Raw genomic sequence first — 20,529 nt, 5'->3', positions numbered from 1 at the left:
GGCCAAAAGGGGGTCTGCTAAGTCGGGTGGGGGGCTTAGGATTTTATTTTTAGTTCTCAAGGGAGATAAAATAATTTAATCCATTGGCCCCTGTGACTGTGGGACTAACATGGCTATGATCTGTCGGACAGACTTCAGGCTGGCACCCAGGCAAAATTCTGTGCTGTAGTAAATGCATCATGCACATTTGTAACAACACGTACATAACAATGTCACAAAATACTTTCATGGTGACACCTAGATTAGTGTTTTATTGAATAGCTGATGATATAAACTGGCTCATTTGGTGCCAAGACTGACCATCACCACCATACCAAGGTCATCACTGATCAGAGGCCTAACCCAAGGAGGGGGTCATGTGCAGGCCCAGCGGTGGGGAGGAAAGATGCCGCAGAGGAGACGGATGCCCACAGAGGCCCCTGAGCGGATACCATGCTCACTAAGTGGTAAGTATAGACTCAACGTAGGCTGTAAGCTCTCCCCCTGTGCAAATGGGACCCCATCCACTTGAGAGTCAAGGGTCTGTTTGGGTGGCAGGGTTAGCCACTTCTGAAGGTAGAAAGGAAAATAAGCCACCAAATTGGTACCTTTCTGTGAAATGGACATCGTGCTCAGAATCTCCATTTTCCCCACAACCTGGAGGAATAAGTACTGTCATCTGCATTTTATAGCTGAGGAATCTGACTGAACAAAATTGAATTACTCGCCTAAGCAATTAGCAATTAACCAAGTCTTTCTGACTCAGAAACCCAGCTGTTGCCTGTTCATATCCAGCCCCCTGTATTGGTGTCAAGATCTGGCCTGTTCTCAATGCAGCAAGATCCAGGCAGATCACACTGGACTCCCAGCACTGAATCTGGCTCAAGGGGACATCAAATTTGACTGGGTCATGGGGCTCAGGAGCATCACTCTCAAAAATAGCAGTACAGGAAGAGGCGATGGCCCTAAACAGCACTTGCAGGCAGATCCCATGTTAATCGTAAGGGTCAGGACTCTCTCACTTTTCTGTCTCTCTCTCTGTCTCTCCTCTAGGGCTGACCCCACATTGGACACCACTGCTTCCATGTCGATCACACACCACAGCTGCCTTTTCTTCTGCCTGCTTATGGGAAAGTCCCCTCCTCTCCTCCGTTTTCTTCTCTTCCTGCCCTATCACACCGTGCACTTCTCCCTTTCCTTAAAGAACCACCATCAACTTTAGGAGGAGGGAAAGGGGTGGCTCTGGCAGGAAAAGCCAGAATCCCCTCTAGCCAACAGAGAGAGAGAGGAATGGCTGCATGTTTTCTCCCTCAATCCAAGGCACTGGGTCTTGGCTGAGTTGCAGGTTCCAAGCTGCTCTCCTGCTGTGTCGGTGAGTTCTGGTCAACCTGCAACCTCCTGACGTGGCCACTGCAGTTCATCGAGTCTTCAGGGACTCCCCATGGCCTAGAGTACTTTGCCTTGCTTACACGGGAGAGGAGAATGGATTTATAGAGAACATCATCTAAATCCAACTTGACCATTGTGTGGCCACACTTGCTAGATTGCTATAGTCTAAATCTAGCATTGTAGAAAGACGGGGGAGCTTGGAGCTGCACAAACCCAGGTCTGGAAATGGCTCCTTACCTTGGAAGGTGAATGATCCTGGCAGGACTTAGCCTCCCTGGGCCTCAGTTTCTTTATCTGTTTCATGGGAATGAGGATCTCTGCTGGTTGGTTGGGTGATGCGGGGGCTGTGTGAAAACAGCTTGTCAATACAAGCCGAAATAGAAATATTTCTCCACAGAGTATGAAGGTCAAATGAGAGAATACATTTAAATTAAATGGAAAATTAAAATGGCAAAAAAGGCAAAGCTGTATTCAAAGTTCCGAGCTTCTCTATAAGGAGCTTTTTGACTATGTGAGAATCCTGTACTCGTTCCCCCTAAATACAAAAAAAAAAAAAAAGTTGAAGGAGGCAGAAGGGAGAGTGATGCACGATGGGCGAGGACTTCACCTGCTGTTGCTGGCTTTGAGGATAGAGAAAGAAGGCCACAAACCTAGAAGCTGGAGCCCCTAGAAGCTAGAAAAGGCAGGGAGCCGATTCATCCCTTAAGCCTCCAGAAGGGACATAGCCCCGCTGGCACCTTGATTTTAGCCCAGTGAGATCCTCTTAGGAATTTTGGCAACCAGAACTATAAGACAGAAATGGAAGCCACTGAGTCTGTAGCTGTTTGTTGCAGCAGCAATAGAAAACTAATGCAGAGCCCAAGAAATCACTGGTGATGAGATGGGGAAAGTGGGCTCAGGAGGTCTGGATCTGTGATGAGATGGGGAAAGTGGGCTCAGGAGGTCTGGATCTGTGATGAGATGGGGGAAGTGGGCTCAGGAGGTCTGGATCTGAGGTGCGGATCTGGAGTGGAAGGGGAATTCATTTGTTCATTGTCTATCCTTTTGCATTGATTGAGTTTTTTTCTATATATATGTGTGAATTTTCACAATAACAGTTTTTTCCAAAATAAAATAAAAGAACAAAAGGGGCTTTTTGCAACCCAAATCCTATCTATGTCTGAGTCCACTTGTATTGAATGAGTCTTTCTGCTAACGTCCTTATATTTGGGTGACAATCTGAATGGCAGTGACCAATCAGAGCAGAGGCAAACCTTGGAGTGGGCAGGGCATCCTGAGGGCCCTGATTCCTGCCATGAGTCATAACTCTTTAGGTGCCAGACCATGGGGAGGTCCAGGGGTTGCAGGGGAGGGCTGTGCATCTGCAATGACTCTCAGGGGGCTCCTGGTGGTGGCAATTGGTGAATCTGCACAGTGGTGTTTCAATATTGTCACAACCCTGCTGTCTCTCATGCTCTCAAAAAGCATTCCTCTTACCTGTGACAGACTTCCTACACCTAACAGCTTGCAAAAGTGTTCCAGGTTAATGAGAATAATCTCTCGGAGCCATACCTCCCTGCTTGGGGTCTCAGTTTCCCCAACTGTCTCCAGACAAGTTAGGCTAGAAGGCCCCTGAGCCTCAGCCCCTCTATACCCCTCCTGTCACCCAGACCTGATCTGGGTCTTGCACCCTGGGTGCAGCATGACAGGGGTGGGCAGGGGCTGGCTCTGGGCCAGAGGACCCTTTCTGATGGACTTCAGCTGTTGGCCTTGCATGGGAGACAGATCAACCGCACAAGAGTCATACGGTGAGTAGCCGTGGGCAAATCCATCCCCCTCGTCTTAGATTTATGGGGAGACAGACAAAGAGGAGACACTCCAGGAAGACCTGCAGGTGGGAGTACCAGGTTGAAACCAAGGACACCTTCCTGGAGGAGCTGCTGCTTGAGCCAGCTCTGAGAACAGGTGGGGACAGGACTGGAGAGGAGGAGGGGGTCCCCTATGAGCAAAGACTGGCCACCACCCCACCTAACACCCCCACAGGGCCCCTGTGGCATCCCTGTCCAGTCCCTGTCACCACCCAGTTTTTCCCTCTGGACCCAGGAATTCAAAGTAAGCAAGGAGGTCCGCTGCTCCAGTTGGCTGCAAATAATTACAACCTTAAGCCCAAGCAGCACTTTGGGTCCTGGTTTGGGACCATGAAGCGACTCGGTGAGACTGAGAGGTAAGGCCAGGGCAGGAATTGGGACAGTAGGATTGAACTCTCCCTGGGGGCCAGCCTCAGAAAGCCTGTGGCCATAGCCTCTTGGCCAACATCAGATCCTGTGGTCTGGCAATGCCTGGGGTACCCAGACCTCACTCTGGACAGGCCCTGGGAGGGGGCCCTGGTGAGATTCCTGGCAGCCTCACAGCCACTCTTCTGTCCGTAGCTACAACCTATCATGCCAGCTGGAGGCTCCATCCCAGTTGGCTGGGAGCACAAAGGCCAGGAAGATAGACATCACCCACCACAGGGGCCAGTCGGGGCCTGAGCCAGGGCGGGCAGAGGTTGGCTGCCTTGGGATATGGGTGGGCTCAGGGAGTCAGACAGCAAGGGACTAGCCTCCCATCCTACTCCTGACCAGACCTGTGACTGGGGAGAGTCACCTTACTTCTCTGGGCCTCAGTTTCCCCCTCTGTGGAGTGACGCTAAATGATCTCTCTGGAGACGGGGATCAATAGGGCACTGGTGATTGACCAGGCACTCAGCACATGCCTGGAACACACAGTGCAGGACTGTGGTGGGGAGGTGGCCTGAGATCCTGGGGAGTCACCCATGTGTGCCTGCCCTTCCGACCAGCCACCAGGCCCTCAGGGCAGAGCCCACTACCAGCAGCAGCTCACACCCCGAGACCAGCTCAGAGGCGGCCCCTACCTCAGCAGCAGGGACATCACGGACACTTTAAGCTGGTACTAGGGTGGCTTCTCCAGCTCCCACGTGGAGAGGGGTCCCAGCTGAGTCCCACTCACGTGGAGTCTCATGCCCATGAAAGCGCCATTCACCACTGGCCAGGCTCATGAGGCCGCATGAGAGGGGGGTCACTGGGGAGGAGATATCGGGGGAACAGAGAGGATGGCTGAATTTTTGTATAATAGGCAGTGCAAGTGTTTACCGTTTGGGAGGGGAAAGGTTTGTTATTATTAGCAATGCTACACTTGAATATTATACTAAAATCCAGTCTCTCTATAACCTGGGAGTTGCTCTTTTGTTCTTTCTTTTCCTGTCTTAATTAAAATGAGATGCAGACTCTCACGGTCCACAGTCAATTAAGAAATCTTGCACGGCCATCAGGTTATGTCTTGGAGAGCAGAGTTTCAGTACCATCAGCCTGGCAAGGAGCTGGGCCTGCTCCTCAGAGCTCCCGGGACTGCGAGATTTGGCATGTTCACAGGGCACCGTCACAGCCTCTGAAACATGCTGTCTTTAAAGACTTTTGCCGTGGCTCACTCACTCACAGTGGGACACGGTGGCTCACTCCTGTAATCCCAGCACTTTGGGAGGCAGAAGCGGGTGGCTCACTTGAGGTCAGGAGTTAAGAGACCAACATGGCCAACATGGCAAAACCCCATCTCTACTAAAAATACAAAAAATTAGCCAGGTGTGGTGTCAGGTGCCTGTAATTCCAGCTACTCAGGAGGCTGAGGTAGGAGAATTGCTTGAACCCAGGAGGCGGAGGTTGCAATGAGCAGAGGTCACACCACTGCACTCCAGTCTGGGCAACAAGAGCAAAACTTCATCTCAAAATAAAAAAACAAAACAAAACACAAAGACATTTGCAAGGACCATGTCCTCACCCAGAATGGTGCCTGCCTTTCTACAGTTTTTCAGGAAGAGGAAACATTTTCTGCTTCTCTCGCTGAGGTTTTTTTTAACCACCCATTAGGAACCTATAGATTTCAGGATCGAACACTGGGATTCCCTCAGCACTAAAGGAGGAAAATTGCAAACAGAGCTGGAAGTGCAATGTGGAAAGGTCAGGCTGAGGAAGGTTCTTAGCCAGTAGACCAAGGGCAGGAAGGACACTGCCTCCTCAGTCTCCCACTAGGGAACTTGTGATTCTTGTCCCCTGATGTCAGAATTCCTTGTCATGTTTGTTTTGTCTCCAAGGGAAGGGTTTGAATTTCAGAATTTAAGGCTAGAGTGGGCCTCGTGCAGTTAACATTAACCCTCTCTCTCCTTCGCTGGCCGAGGTGAGGTCCAGGACCATGTAGTTCTGACGTCCACTCTCTCGGGGGATCACCAGTTCACCCATCTCACCCGGCAAGCTGGGCCCTAGTTTGGCGACAGGCATCTTCCACCCACCTGGGAGGCAGGGTTCAACACTCTGCCTCTGACCTTGTTTCCTTCTTCTGCCACCTGCTTAGGCAACCAGAAGGGGTTGTCCAGCCAGCACCTGGGCTTTAGCGCTCCTCAACCAGGTGGAGGAAGTTTCAGGCACCTGGCTCCTCAGGTGTCTGCCATCCAGGTGCTCTTCAGGCTTGCCCAGCAGAGCTCTCTTGATCCAGCTAGAACTGGCCAGAACTGACTCACTCAGGAATGTGTAGACTTTGGCATCAGGGGCTGCTTTAATTTGCACAATTTCCAAATACCTCTTTTTTCTTCTTTTTCTGATGAGTCATCTCCCTAGACTTGCATTTTAAAGAGATAGATAGTTATCAGGTTCCAGAGAAGACGTGGTAGAACATTTATATCTCAAAGACACAGAGCTGAGACTTCAGGTTGAGATATGATAATTTGCCTAAACCAAAAAGGAAGGTGTAGGTAAAGTTCTAGTCAAGACAGGATGGCCAGGAAAAACACCTTAAACCAAAGGATGGCTTGCTTTGCTGATTTAAGCCAATGGCTTCTTTATCATAAGACTTCCCAGTGATTTAGTCCTCCCTCTCTTCCAGTGCACAGAGACATACCCCTCCTTACAAATTAAAAATGTTCTTTATAGATGGAAATTTATTTTACAAAAATGTTTCAAAATAACCAGATGAAAATCATCCTTATGCCAGAAAGACTTTATTTTTTTATTACTAGAAATGAAACACTAAGTATTTGTTGTATTGACATACTTAGGCTTAGACCTATGTTTAACAAGAAAGCCTTAATAATAGCACTGTGGTTAGACTCTAGCCTATTTTTCCAAACCATCATTTTATTATTAAGGAAACAAAGGATCAAATACCTTTCATTCATCTGATATGATCCTTTAAAACACATTCCACCAATAAGTCCTATTTGGAACAGCTGAAAATCTTTTAATAAAACTTTTTAAAGATGAACTCATGGCTTAGTGTAAATTTCACAAGCTTAATTAGGTCAAGTGGAAGGAACTCAGATGAGTAGTTGCCCAATCAGAGGCCATTATTTGTAAGTCATCAGCCCCCTCCATGACCTTAAAACTCCACTCTGACCTAATTATTGCAAACCTATACACAACAAAGTGAAAGGATTAATTTTCATTCATCAACCTCTCAATCCCAGATTTTCAAAGAAAAAAACCTGTGTAAGGAATACTTACCAAAACCAGACAGGAAAATTAGAGCCTGCATACTTAAGAGTCAAATTTGTTCCACTACAGCCAGGTCGCATACAGTTACATCATTTGGTTCTTCATACACTCTAGAACTGACCAGGACAGAGTTTAGCATAGAAAAACTGTAAGAAATAGGTTCTGAAACATAGAAATTGCAAAGTTCAAAAGGCTATGAAAAAAACGAATGTAAATGAGACTTCCCTCCCTTTGTTTTAAATAAATAGACCCATCAGAGAAATGCAAATCAAAACCACAATGAGATACCATCTCACACCAGTTAGAATGGCGATCATTAAAAAGTCAGGAAACAACAGGTGCTGCCGAGGATGTGGAGAAATAGGAACACTTTCACACTGTTGGTGGGACTGTAAACTAGTTCAACCATTGTGGAAGACAGTGTGGCCATTCCTCAGGGATCTAGAACTAGAAATACCATTTGACCCAGCCATCCCACTACTGGGTATATACCCAAAGGATTATAAATCATGCTGCTATAAAGACACATGCACACGTATGTTTATTGTGGCACTACTCACAATAGCAAAGACTTGGAACAAACCCAAATGTCCAAAAACGATAGACTGGATTAAGAAAATGTGGCACATATACACCATGGAATACTATGCAGCCATAAAAAATGATGAGTTCATATCCTTTGCAGGGACATGGATGAAGCTGGAAACCATCATTCTTAGCAAACTATCACAAGGACAAAAAACCAAACACCGCATGTTCTCACTCATAGATGGGAATTGAACAATGAGAACACTTGGACACAGGAAGGGGAACATCACACACCAGGGCCTGTTGTGGGGTGGGGGGAGGGGGGAGGGATAGCATTAGGAGATATGCCTAATATAAATGATGAGTTAATGGGTGCAGCACACCAACATGGCACATGTATTCATATGCAACAAACCTGCACATTGTGCATGTGTACCCTAGAATTTAAAGTATAATAAAAAAATAAAAAAAGAAAGAAATAGATGTTCTGTAAAAATATACACAATTTTTACAGACAAATACATTTATAAGTTGTTTTTATCTTAAAAATTGGGGATATTTCATATTTATAACTAATTATTGAGCCTTAAGTTTTCTTGGCCATTTCTAGGCTAATAAACTAAGAATCATGTAAACTAAGCCAAAGTAGAATAGTCATAAAAGTCCTGAACACTTCAACTTCCTATTCTTCAAGAAGTATACTTGGCAAATCTCATTTGAGAGAGGAAAAGCTTTCCTCCACCCTCTGTTTTACAGCGCTGAGGCTTCTCATCACATTTCTATGACTTGTAGCTTAATCCATGTTACATGGTCACTGGCATTATTAGTGCTTCTCTTTTAACACTGTAGGAATTAATCAATTTGGTGGTGTATTTAATTAATTCTATCACTAGAGGATTGTAAAATTACATATATGAATACCTCACTTTAGAGGCCACTTAATTTTTTTCCAAGGGGATATTTGACTATATTTCACTTGTGTCTTAATGATTTTATAATTTAAACCCTAAATTATAAATCTAGAATTTAGAAAGTATATTTCCTCACTGGATTACATTTTTGGAAATATTATTTTATATGTGCACAAATATTACAAAATCACTGTAGACACCTGAAAACTATATTATCTTTTAAAGGCAATATTCTACATTAAACTGCTATAACAAAATTGTTTGGTGCATTTTTTCTAGTACATTTTGTATATATTACATGTTTAACCTTTTTTTTATCCAGCAAATAATTTTTGAGTATCCACTAAGTGCTAGGTTCTGCATGACTAACTGAATTTAAAGAGTGAAATAACAGACATGGTCTCAGACAATACAAATTAACATTAGGTCACCTATTTATATATTTTTAAATGGTAATTATGAAAACTTTTTGAGATTTTTAACTAGATAACATTATAATAACACACTTGATGTTGTTAATATTTGCCAGTGAGCAAAAAAGAAAATAAAAAGATGGTTTTATTCAATATACACTTTAAAATTGCAGGAAATAGTCAAGTTTCTCTGCTTTGCAGTTGAATGTCTATGTGTTTTTCTCTGCAACTTGGCTTTTGTGGAGTGAGAGAAACAATTATTCTTCCAGCCCAATGAAGGCAGAAGAGTAACAATAAATCTAATATTTTAAATGCTTATCAAAAGGTAGTAAACATATTATTTCAGAATACTGAGATCAATAAGTTGACCTAGAAAAAAAGCCAAACTGACAGTATTACTGAATAAGGAAAGGCCCAAAGAGACAAAATACTTATTATTTTGTAACCTCGGTATGACACAACTTACCCTAACTATAAAGACCCTAAATTACCAAGATGGGTGCTTATAATATGGAGAGTAAAAAAAGTCATTTCACTTTTAGCTTTTTTATTTCTCTCAGAATAAAAAGTGTATAAGGAGTTGATAAAGAAGTTGATACTATAAGTTAGTACTACAATGACAGCACTTTTCAAGAAAAGACTTTTTTCTCTCTTACAAATATCATGTTAGCAGTATTTGTTTTCTCCAGAAATAATGAGGAAATAAAAACATAAGTATGTGGGTAATTAGTGTAGTTTCTTAAAGAAATGAGTTAGGCAACAGGCTAATAATGTATACTTCGCTGGCTTTTGAATGCCAACAATCATATTTTTTATAAGGCACAGGGAAGATTTTTCTAAAGAACAAGTATGTGAACCTGAAAAGTAATCACCACTTGGTAGTGACAATATGGATAGGGTGAAGGGCGTCACCAAGAAGCAATGAAAAGATACATTTGCAGTTAAATTTGAAAACCATGATGTTTAATACATATAGTAATAAAGAATACTTTCTCCTGTTTCAAAATTATTTTAGAATTTAAGATAGAAGCTAAAATACCTAGGGATAATGATATGACTATTGAAAATTAAAAATTAAAGGACATTTTGAGTATTAGAAGTTAAGAATGAGAACTTATTACCCAATGAACAGGGGATAATTCATTATGCTCCATATCCATTGAATTAAAAGACAGGCCCATTACCTGGATAATTTGAAAGTTTAATTTTATTTAAAAGTCTTGTTTCATTCATCAAGCTAAAGGATTAGCTCCCAGAAATATTCTAGGATTGCATATCCCCAACTCTGTAGGAAGTATAGAAAGAATGTTATAAGGGCCACCACCTAAACATTATTATGTAAATAATTTAGTACCATTCCATTTGCCTTTGTAGATTTAAAAATGTAAATGGCTTTCTCATATTAGGAAACATCATTTTTCAAAACCCAGATAAACGTAGTATATTGCAAGAGAATAATTATTTTCTTTATTAAAAAAGAAATACTGGATGCTAAGTCCAAAAGACATAAATTATTTTATACTAATAACTACCAACATTTTATTCATTAAAATATAAAGGTCAAAGATTTTAAAATGATCTTTAAATGATTAATAACATGTTGATCTTTTTCTTCTTTCTGTAAACCTTTTTGAGTCTTAAAAATACTAAACTATACAAGCAATATTAAATAGTATATAAACTTGGATTAAAATATTCAAATTTACTAGAATGTGGACATTGGAAAGAATGAAAATAAACAGAAGCATAAAGCAGCAGATATAAAATTACGAAAGCAACTAAGAGTGTTTAAAGTACATATTCATCTGTAGTCTAATGTCTACCATAAACAATGACTCTTCTCAGTAAAACACAAGTCGTTCATGAAGGGAAAAAGCATGTTGTATTAGAGAATATTCAACATAACTTTTTTAGTACTAACTTGTGCCTGGAGTATTATTGGTTTTTCTATTATGAACTTATGCACTTGATATTTTTTTTCATAAAGATTGTATGTACAACTCCATTCAAAAGCAGTTTTTGGTGGTTTTTTTTTTTTTTTTTTTTTGAGACAGAGTTTTGCTCTTTTCACCCAGGCTGGAGTGCAATGGTGCAAACTTGGCTCACAGCAACCTAGCAACCTTTGCCTCCCAGGTTCAGGTGATTGTCTTGCCTCAGCCTCCTGAGTGGTTAGGACTACAAGCATGTACCACCATGCCTGGCTAATTTTGTGTTTTCAGTAGAGACATGGTTTTGCCATGTTGACCAGGCTGGTCTTGAACTCCTGACCTGAGGTAATCCGCCCACCTTGGCCTCCCAAAGTGCTGGGTATGGGCAAGAGCCACCATACCCGGCCTCAAAAGCAGTTTTTAAAAGCAAACACAATATAACACCAAAGTTGAAAAATCCAGGCTCACCCAAGGATGCCAGGTTTAATAAATTATTTATAGAACACTGCATCAAAAATAAGACAATAACCCAAAATATACCATTAAAGATGTATCCACTCCTACAACTAGAGATAATTAATCTATCTGGTAGCAAATGATACTTCAATCAGTTTCAGCATGTCTGAAATCTTTAAGGACAAAAGTGATAAAACATGACTTCATTCTTCATTAGACTCTTAGAACACTTGAAGGAAGATAATTTCTGAAGCACAAAGAGGTAAAGAGGTGTAATCTCTCAAAAAGATATTCAGTGTTCAAAATCCAAGAGTGCAATATCAGGCTGGGTGCGGTGGCTTATGCCTGTAATCCCAGCACTTTGGGAGACCATGGTGGGTGGATCACCTGAGGTCAGGAGTTCGAGACCAGCCTGGACAACAGGGTGAAACTCTGACTGTACTAAAAATACAAAAATTAGCCAGGCATGGTGGTGTGCACCTGTAGTCCTAGCTACTTGGGGGGCTGAGACAGGAGAATCGCTTGAACCTGGGAGGTGGAGGTTGCAGTGAATCGAGATCATGCCACCTCACTCCAGCATCAGTAACAGAATGAGATTCCATCTCAAAAAAAAAAAAAAAAAAAAAGAGTGTAATATCATATCGGTATACACAGATAATACACTGAATGAAAGAAATAGAATAATTTGAAGAGGTATCTTGATGAACGAGGAGTCATTAGAAAGGTTGTATTCATGTCTTTGAAGCAACTTTGCAATGTGAGAAATTAATACTTTGACTACTATACTAAAAGTTTATTGCTAACATGTATTGAGTTATTAACGTGTGTTAGGCAGAGTACCATATAATTTGCAAGTGTTATCTCATTTATTGTAGGTAAAATGTAATTTCGAACTCTGGGAGTATAAACGAATTAGATAGAATAAAATTCTATTTAAATTGCTATCAGTAAATCGGTATCTAGGAACAGGGTGATACAGTGCCCAAGTTTTCTATTCTTACTAAACGTTGTGTTTCATTTTCAATGTTTTCTTGGATATTGCTCTTTTTTGGCGACTTTGATTTTTTTTATTTTAGAAAACTAATAAATTGACTCTTCTTGGTACTGACTCTTGGGTTTTATAGAAGAAAAAGTAATTAAATTCTGTACATTTACCTTTACCTCATTTTTTCTCTTTTAAATTTACTTTGACATATAATAAATGTACATGTTATGGGGTACAGAGTGATATTTTGATATATTTATGCAATGCATAAAGATCAAGTCACAGTCATTATCACATCCATTACCTAAATCATGTATTATTTCTTTTCAGTGAGAATATTCAAAATCTTTTATTTTAGTTATTTGAAAACACACAATAAATTCCCGTTAACTACAGTCACCCAACAGTGCTGTAGAGAACTAGAACTTCTTCCTTCTCTCCACCTGTAATTTTGTATGTATTAACCACATTTTTCTTATACTCTTCTTTCTCCTACTCTTTCCAGGATATGGTAACCAAAACTCTACTATCTACTTCTACGAGATTAAAAATTTTAGCTTCCATACATAAGTGAGAACACGTAGTTATGTGGTGTTTATGTTTCTATGCCAGGCTTATTTCACCTAACATAGTGCCCTCCACTTGCATTCTTGTTGCCACAAATAACAGGATTTTGTTCTTTATTATGACTAAACAATATTCCATTATATATGTATGTCACATTTCTTTATCCATTCATCTGTTGATGGACACTTTTGTTGATTCCATATCTTGGCTATTGTGAATAGTGTTGTAATAAACATGCAGGTGCAGGTAACTCTTTGATATACTGATTTTCTTTCCTTTGGATATATACTGAAAACCATATGATCAAATTAATAAACACAATAAAAGCATTTGGCAAAATTAAATATTCTTACATGACAAAAAACCTCTTAACAATTTAGTGTAGAAAATATATGCCTTAACACAGAAGGACATAAAGGACAAATCTACAGCTAAGATCATACTGAGTGTGGAAAAGGTGAAAGATTTTACTGTGAACAAGAAAAAGATTTTACTGTAACAAGAAAAGGATGCCTATTTTCACCAATCATATTTCACATAGTGAAAGTCTTAGCCAGGACAATTAGGTGAGAGAAAGAAATACAGGATATCTGAATTGGAAAGGAGACAGTCAAATTGTCCTTGTTTAAAGACAATGTGATCTTATACACGGAAAAAAATAAGATGCTACCAAAAGCTTCTTAGGGTGATACATGAAATTAATAAAGTTGCAGGATATAAATCAACATACAAAAATCAGTAGCATTTCTATATATTGATAGTAAACTAGCTGAAACAAGAAATTAAGAAAGCAATTCCTTTTACAATAGCTACAAAAATGTACTTAGAAATAAATTTAACCAAGGAAGTAAAAGATTTCTACAACAAAAATGACGAATATTAATGAAAGAAATTAAAGAAAACACAAAAAAGACATCCACGTTTATAGATTGAAATAACTAATATTCTTAAAATGACCCACTATCCTATGTAATTTACAAATTTAGTACAATCACTAGCTTGTATTTTTAAAAGCACCTTTGCTGCATATTCTTAAGATATTCAATGACAATGCCTGGATTTATGTTTGAGGTATTATTATATCTATTTTATATTGGGCACAATATAATGTTATCAGAGGTAACGGTTTTGATTGGTCCTAGGTCATACAGTAATATATACATTGTGATTTATAGACGTTATCTTTTAATACTCAGGCATTTAGAAAGTTCATTTAGACAAAGTTATAAAAACTTGCCTTCCTTTCTGCCTATATCACCTAAAAATCCTAATTTAAGAGGTAATAACATTTTTTATTTGATATACAATTTATCAACACAATAAAAATCTAACAATTATCATGTGCAGAGTGTGAAAATCTCATCAGATTAAGGAACGCAAAGACATCTTTTTCATATTTCGAATGTAAAACTCTTTTGGAAACATTTTTAGAAACAGTTAAAAACACTTTTTCATTAGTTTTTCATGTAAAATTGTGACAACCAGCATGAAATAACTGTCATCACAGAAGCATGGTATATTTGATTCCAAAACATATTCTTTGTAAGTTTTAATATATTTATGTATTATTTATACTTAGATTGTAACCCATAATGTAGATATTATTTTTCCTTCAACTCTTAAGAATATTCTTAAATAATAAAATTAAAATGAATTGTAATTTTTGTTGGTTGGGAAAAAGAATAGACACACACGTGACAGTGCATCACTTCACCTCATCATTTCATCTCATTTCATCATTTCATCTCATCATTTCATCTCATTTTATCTCATCATATCATCTCATCATTTCATCAAATCTCATCTCATTTCCATTTCATTTTCATTATTTCATTTCACTATTTCATTTAATTTCATCTAATTTCATTATGTCACTTCATATCATCTCATTTCATCTCATCATTTTTCATATCATTTTTCATCTCATCATTTCATCTCAATTCATTTCATCTCATCATTTCATCTCATCTCATCATTTCCTCCTTTCAACATTTCATCTCATCATTTCTTCTCATCTCATTTCAATTTCATTATTTCATTTCATCTCATTTCATTATTTCACCTAATCTCATTATTTCATCTCATCTCATCTCAATTCATCTCATCTCATTTCATCTCATCATTTCATCTCATCATTTTTCATCTCATTTAATCTCATTTCATTTCGTCTCATCATTTCAGCTCATCATTTCATCTCACCACATCTCTTCATTTCATCATTTCATCTCATCTCATCTTTCAATTTCATTTCAATATCATTTCCTCATTTCATCTCATTTCATTATTTCATTATTTCATTTCATCTCATTTCAATTCATCTCATTTCATCTCATCATTTTTATCTCATCATTTCATCTCATCATATCTCATCATTTCATCATTTCATCTCATTTCTTCTCATCATTTCATCTCATCAGTTTAACTCATTTCGTCTCATCTCAATTTCATTATTTCATTTCATTTCACTTTATTTCATTTCATCTCATCTCATCATTTCATCTCATCTTACCTCATTTCATCTCATCATTTCATCATTTCATCTCATTTCATCTCATCTCACCTCATCTCATTTCATCTCATCTCATCATTTCATCTCATCCTTTCATTTCATCTCCTTTCACCTCATCTCACCTCAGCATTTCATCATTTCATCTCATTTCATCTCATCTCACCTCATCTCATTTCATCTCATCTCATCATTTCATCTCATCCTTTCATTTCATCTCCTTTCACCTCATCTCACCTCAGCATTTCATCATTTCATCTCATCATTTCTTATTTCATCTCATTTTATCTCATTTCATCTCATTTCAATTTCCTTCATTATTTCATTTCATCTCATTCATTTCATCTCATTTCATTACATCTCATCATTACATCTCATCTCATCTCATCATTTCATCTCATCATTGCATCTCATCATTCATCTCATCATTTCATCTCATCTCATCATTTCCATTTCCATTTCATTATTTCATTTCATCATTTAATTTCATCATCTCATTTAATTTCACCTCATTTCATTATTTCATTTCATTATGTCATTTCATTTCATCTCATTACATTTCATCTAATTTCATTTCATCTAATTTCATCTCATTTCATCTCTTTTCATCTCATCATTTCATCTCATCATCTCATCAACTCATTTCATCTTATCATTTCATCATTTCATCTCATCTTATATCTTCTCATCTCATTTCAATTTCATTTCATTATTTCATTTCATTATTTCATGTCATGTCATCTCATCATTTCATCTCATCACATCTCATCATTTCATCATTTTATTTCATTTCATCTTATTATTTCATCTCATCTCATTTCAATTTTATTTCAATTTCATTTTATTTCATTATTTCATATCATTTCATCTCATTATTTCATTATTTCATTTCATTTCATCTCATCATTTCATCTCATCATTTCATCTCATCGTCTCCTCTTATCTCATTTCATCTCATCATTCACCTCATCATTTCATCTCATTATTTTATCTCACCATTTCATTTCATCTCATCTCATCATTTCATCTCATTTCATCATTACATCTTATTTCATCTCATTTTATGTCATTTCATGTCATCATTTCATCACATCTCGTCTCATCTCATCTTTTCATCTCATCATTTCATCTCATTTCAACTCATTGCATCTCATCTCATGATTTCCATTTCATCATTCCATTTCATCATTCCATTTCATCATTTCATTTCATTATTTCATTTCATTATGTCATTTCATCTCATCACATTTCATCTCATCTCATCATTTCATCTTTCATCTCATTATTTCATCTGATTTCATGTCATCATATCATGTCATCATTTCATCTCATTTCATCACATCTCATCTCATCATTTAATCTCATTTCATCTCATCATTTCATCTCATCTCATCATTTCTTATTTCATCTCATTTTATCTCATCATTTCATCTCATCTCATCTCAATTCAATTTCCTTTCATTATTTCATTTCATCTCATTCATTTCATCTCATTTCATTACATCTCATCATTACATCTCACCTCATCATTTCATCTCATCATTGCATCTCATCATTCATCTCATCATTTCGTCTCATCTCATCATTTCCATTTCATTTCCATTTCATTATTTCATCACTTAATTTCATCATCTCATTTAATTTCACCTCATTTCATTATTTCATTTCATTTTTTCATTTCATTATGTCATTTCATTTCATCTCATTACATTTCATCTAATTTCATTTCATCTAATTTCATCTCATCATTTCATCTCATCATCTCATCAACTCATTTCATCTTATCATTTCATCATTTCATCTCATCATTTCATCTCATCTCGTATCTTCTCAATTTCATTTCATTATTTCATTTCATTATTTCATGTCATGTCATCTCATCATTTCATCTCATCACATCTCATCATTTCATCATTTTATTTCATCATTTCATCTTATTTCATCTCATCTCATTTCAATTTTATTTCATTTTATTTCATTATTTCATATCATTCATCTCATTATTTCATTTCATTTCATTTCATCTCATCATTTCATCTCATCATCTCCTCTTATCATTCATCTGATCATTTCATATCATCATTTCATATCATCACTTTATCTCACCATTTCATCTCATCTCATCATTTCATCTCATTTCATTCATTACATCTTATTTCATCTCATTTTATGTCATTTCATGTCATCATTTCATCACATCTCGTCTCCTCATCTTTTCATCTCATCATTTCATCTCATTTCATCTCATCATTTCAACTCATTGCATCTCATCTCATCATTTCCATTTCATTATTCCATTTCATCATTTCATTTCATTATTTCATTTCATTATGTCATTTCATCTCATCACATTTCATCTCATCTCATTTCATCTCATCTCATCATTTCATCTCATCATTTCATCTCATTATTTCATCTGATTTCATGTCATCATTTCATCTCATTTCATCACATCTCATCATTTAATCTCATCATTTAATCTCATTTCATCTCATCATTTCATCTCATCTCATCATTTCATCATTTCATCTCATCATTTCTTCTCATCTCATCATTGCCATTTCATTATTTCATCATTACATTTCATAATTTCCTTTCATTATTTGATTTCATCTCATTTCATTATTTCATCTCATTTTTCATCTCATTTCATCTCATCATTTCATCTTATCATCTCATCTTATTTCATCATTTCATCTTATCGTTCATCTCATTTCATCTCATCATTTTATCTCATTATATCATCTCATCTCATCTCAATTTCATTATTTCATATCATTTCATTTCATTATTTCATTTCATTTCTTCTCATCATTTCATCTCGTTTCATCTCATCATTTCATCCCTCATCTCATTTCATGTCATCTCATCTCCTTTCAATTTCTTTTCAATTTTGTCATTTTATCTCATCATTTCATCTCATCATTTCTACTCATCATTTCATCTCAAAATTTCATCTCATCATTTCATCTCATCATTTCATCATTTCATCTCATCATTTCATCTCATCTCAAGTAACCTTATCACTTCATCTAAGTGAAATGATGTAATGGAATCATGAAATGAAATGGATAGGATGCCCTCAGTGATGTTAAATTTAAAAATTGTTTTCATGTATTCATTTTTATATTTATATGTATTTATATTTATATTTACTTATATTTCTTTTTACTTATTTTTATTTATATTTTTACTTATTTATTGGTAGACAAGGTCCTGTTCTGTGGCCTAGGCTGGAATGCAGTGGTGCATTCACAGTTCACTGCAGCCTCAAGCAAACCTCCCACCTTAGCCTCCCAGGTAGCTGGGACCCCAGGTGCGCACCACCACACCTGGTTAATATTTTATTATTTGTAGAGATGGAGTCTTGCTATGCTGCCCAGGCTGGTCTCAAACTCCTGGGCTCAAGCAATCCTCCTGCCTTCGCAACCCAAAATGCTGGGATCACAGATATGAGCCACAGTGCCCATCCTATTTATTTACTTATTTATTTATTTAATAAAGAAAAGGTCTCAATATGTTGCCCAGGCTGGTCAACTCCTGGACTCAAATGATTCTCCAAACTTGGCCTCTCAAAATGTTGGGATTACAGGTATGAGCCACCATGCCTGGCCTAAAAATAGTATTATATTTTTGCATTATATAATTTTCAATTAAGTAATATGAATATTCTGTACAGGAAATATGCCCTTAATTACATAGGAATAAACATTTGTTACACTGAGAAAAAATCTAATAGAGCTAAAAATAAAAATTAGTTTGGAGAGGTCATTAGATACTCATACATTCTTACGTTTATATATTCTTTCATATATTCATATATTCTTTTAACAGTATCAATGGTTTGGAGTTATGTGTACAAAACCATGACCTACATGTAATACAACTAATAACAAGCACTTACAATTCAAGGCATATTATATACAAAGCTTTAACTTCTCATCTTCAGATTTTGTTTTTTTTCTTTCTGTTTTGGCAGATACTATGAACACAACATTCAACTCACAGACACTATGGAGCCCTTACTAAGCATAAAGTACTGTGAAAGGCCAGGGCTAGGACAGAACTGAGACAGGGCCAGGGATAGGACAGAACCGGGGCAGGGTCATGGCCAGAGAAAAACCAGGGGCAGGGTCACAGCCAGGGACATAAGAGGACCAAGGCCAGGGCCAGAAGTAGGGCAGAACCAGGGCCAGGGCAGGGACATGGCAGGGGCAGGGCCAGGGCCATGGCAGGATCAGGGCCAGCAGAAGGCCAGGGCAGGGCTAGGGTAGCACAGGGCCAAGGCAGGGCAGGGTCAGTGTAGAGCAAGAAACGGGCCAGGGTATGGCAGGGCAGGGACAGGGAGGTCCAGGGCCAGAGTCAGGTCCAGGACATGGACAGGGCAGGGCCAGAAACATGGCAGGACCAGAAAGGGGAAAGGGCAAGGGCAAGGCCAGAGAAGGACCACAGTAAAAACATGGCCAGGGAGGGTCCAGGGCAAGGGCAAGGCCATGGCAGAACCAGAGCCAGGGCAGTCCAAAGGCAGGGCCAGGGCAGGGCCAGTGTAGGGTGAGGGTAGGGCCAGGGCAAGTTCAGGGCCAGGGCAGGACTAAGATAGCACAGGGCCAAGGCCAAGGCCCTGTACTAAGATAGCACAGGGCCAGGGCAGGGCCAAAGGAGGGGCCAGGGCCAAGCATGGCCAGTGTGCGGCCTGGGGATTGTCAGGGCCAGGGCCAGGGTCAAGGCTGAGCCAGGAACAGGGCCAGAGCAAGGGCAGGGCCAGGGAGAAGGCAGAACCAGAGAGGATCCAGAGAAAGGGCAGGGCCAGGGCAGAACCAGGACCAGGATAAGGCAAAGCCAAGGCCAGGGCAGGGCAAGGCCAGGGCAGGGCAAGACCAGGGAAGGGCAAGGCCAGGGTAGAAATGGCCAGTGTACGGCCAGGCCAGGGTAGGAAAAGGCCACGGTAGGGCCAAGGCCAAGGCGGGGCAGGGCTAGGGTAGCACAGGTCATGGCCAAAAACAGGGCAGGGCCATAGCAGTGGCAGGACTAGCAACAGGGCCAGGGTAAGCGCTGGACCAGAGCATGGTGGGGACAATACAGGGCCAGGACAGATGATGGCAAGGCAGGTCCAGGGTCATTTCATGGACTCGGTAGGCCTGGGGTCAGGCCAGGGCAGGGAAAGGGCAAGGCCAGGGAGAAGGCAGGGCCAGGGCCAAGGCACTGCCAGGGCAGGGCAGGACCAGTGCAGGGTGAGGGAAAGGCCAGGGCATGGAAGGGCAGGGCAGGACCAAGGAAGGGCCAGGAGAATGCCACGGCAGGGTCAAGGCCAGAACAAGGGTACGGGTGGGGTCAGAAATATGGTAGGG

General features: G+C 39.2%; 1 long non-coding RNA gene across 1 annotated transcript in view; it reads right to left on the bottom strand.

The window, feature by feature from the left end:
• Positions 1-294: 294 nt before the first annotated feature.
• The window catches only part of LOC105379547 (paraneoplastic antigen Ma6E-like), a 31,917-nt gene continuing 11,682 nt past the window's right edge, over positions 295-20,529 (bottom strand). Inside the window, exon 6 of the long non-coding RNA XR_005647093.2 lies at positions 295-1,712. This is a non-coding gene — a long non-coding RNA (paraneoplastic antigen Ma6E-like). The remainder of the gene's footprint in view (positions 1,713-20,529) is intronic.

The sequence above is a fragment of the Homo sapiens genome (assembly GCF_000001405.40).
Source record: "Homo sapiens chromosome 16 unlocalized genomic scaffold, GRCh38.p14 Primary Assembly HSCHR16_RANDOM_CTG1".
NCBI classification, from domain to species: domain Eukaryota; kingdom Metazoa; phylum Chordata; class Mammalia; order Primates; family Hominidae; genus Homo; species Homo sapiens.
Note: the sequence above shows the minus strand (reverse complement) of the source record. Positions and strands in the feature narration are given on the sequence as shown.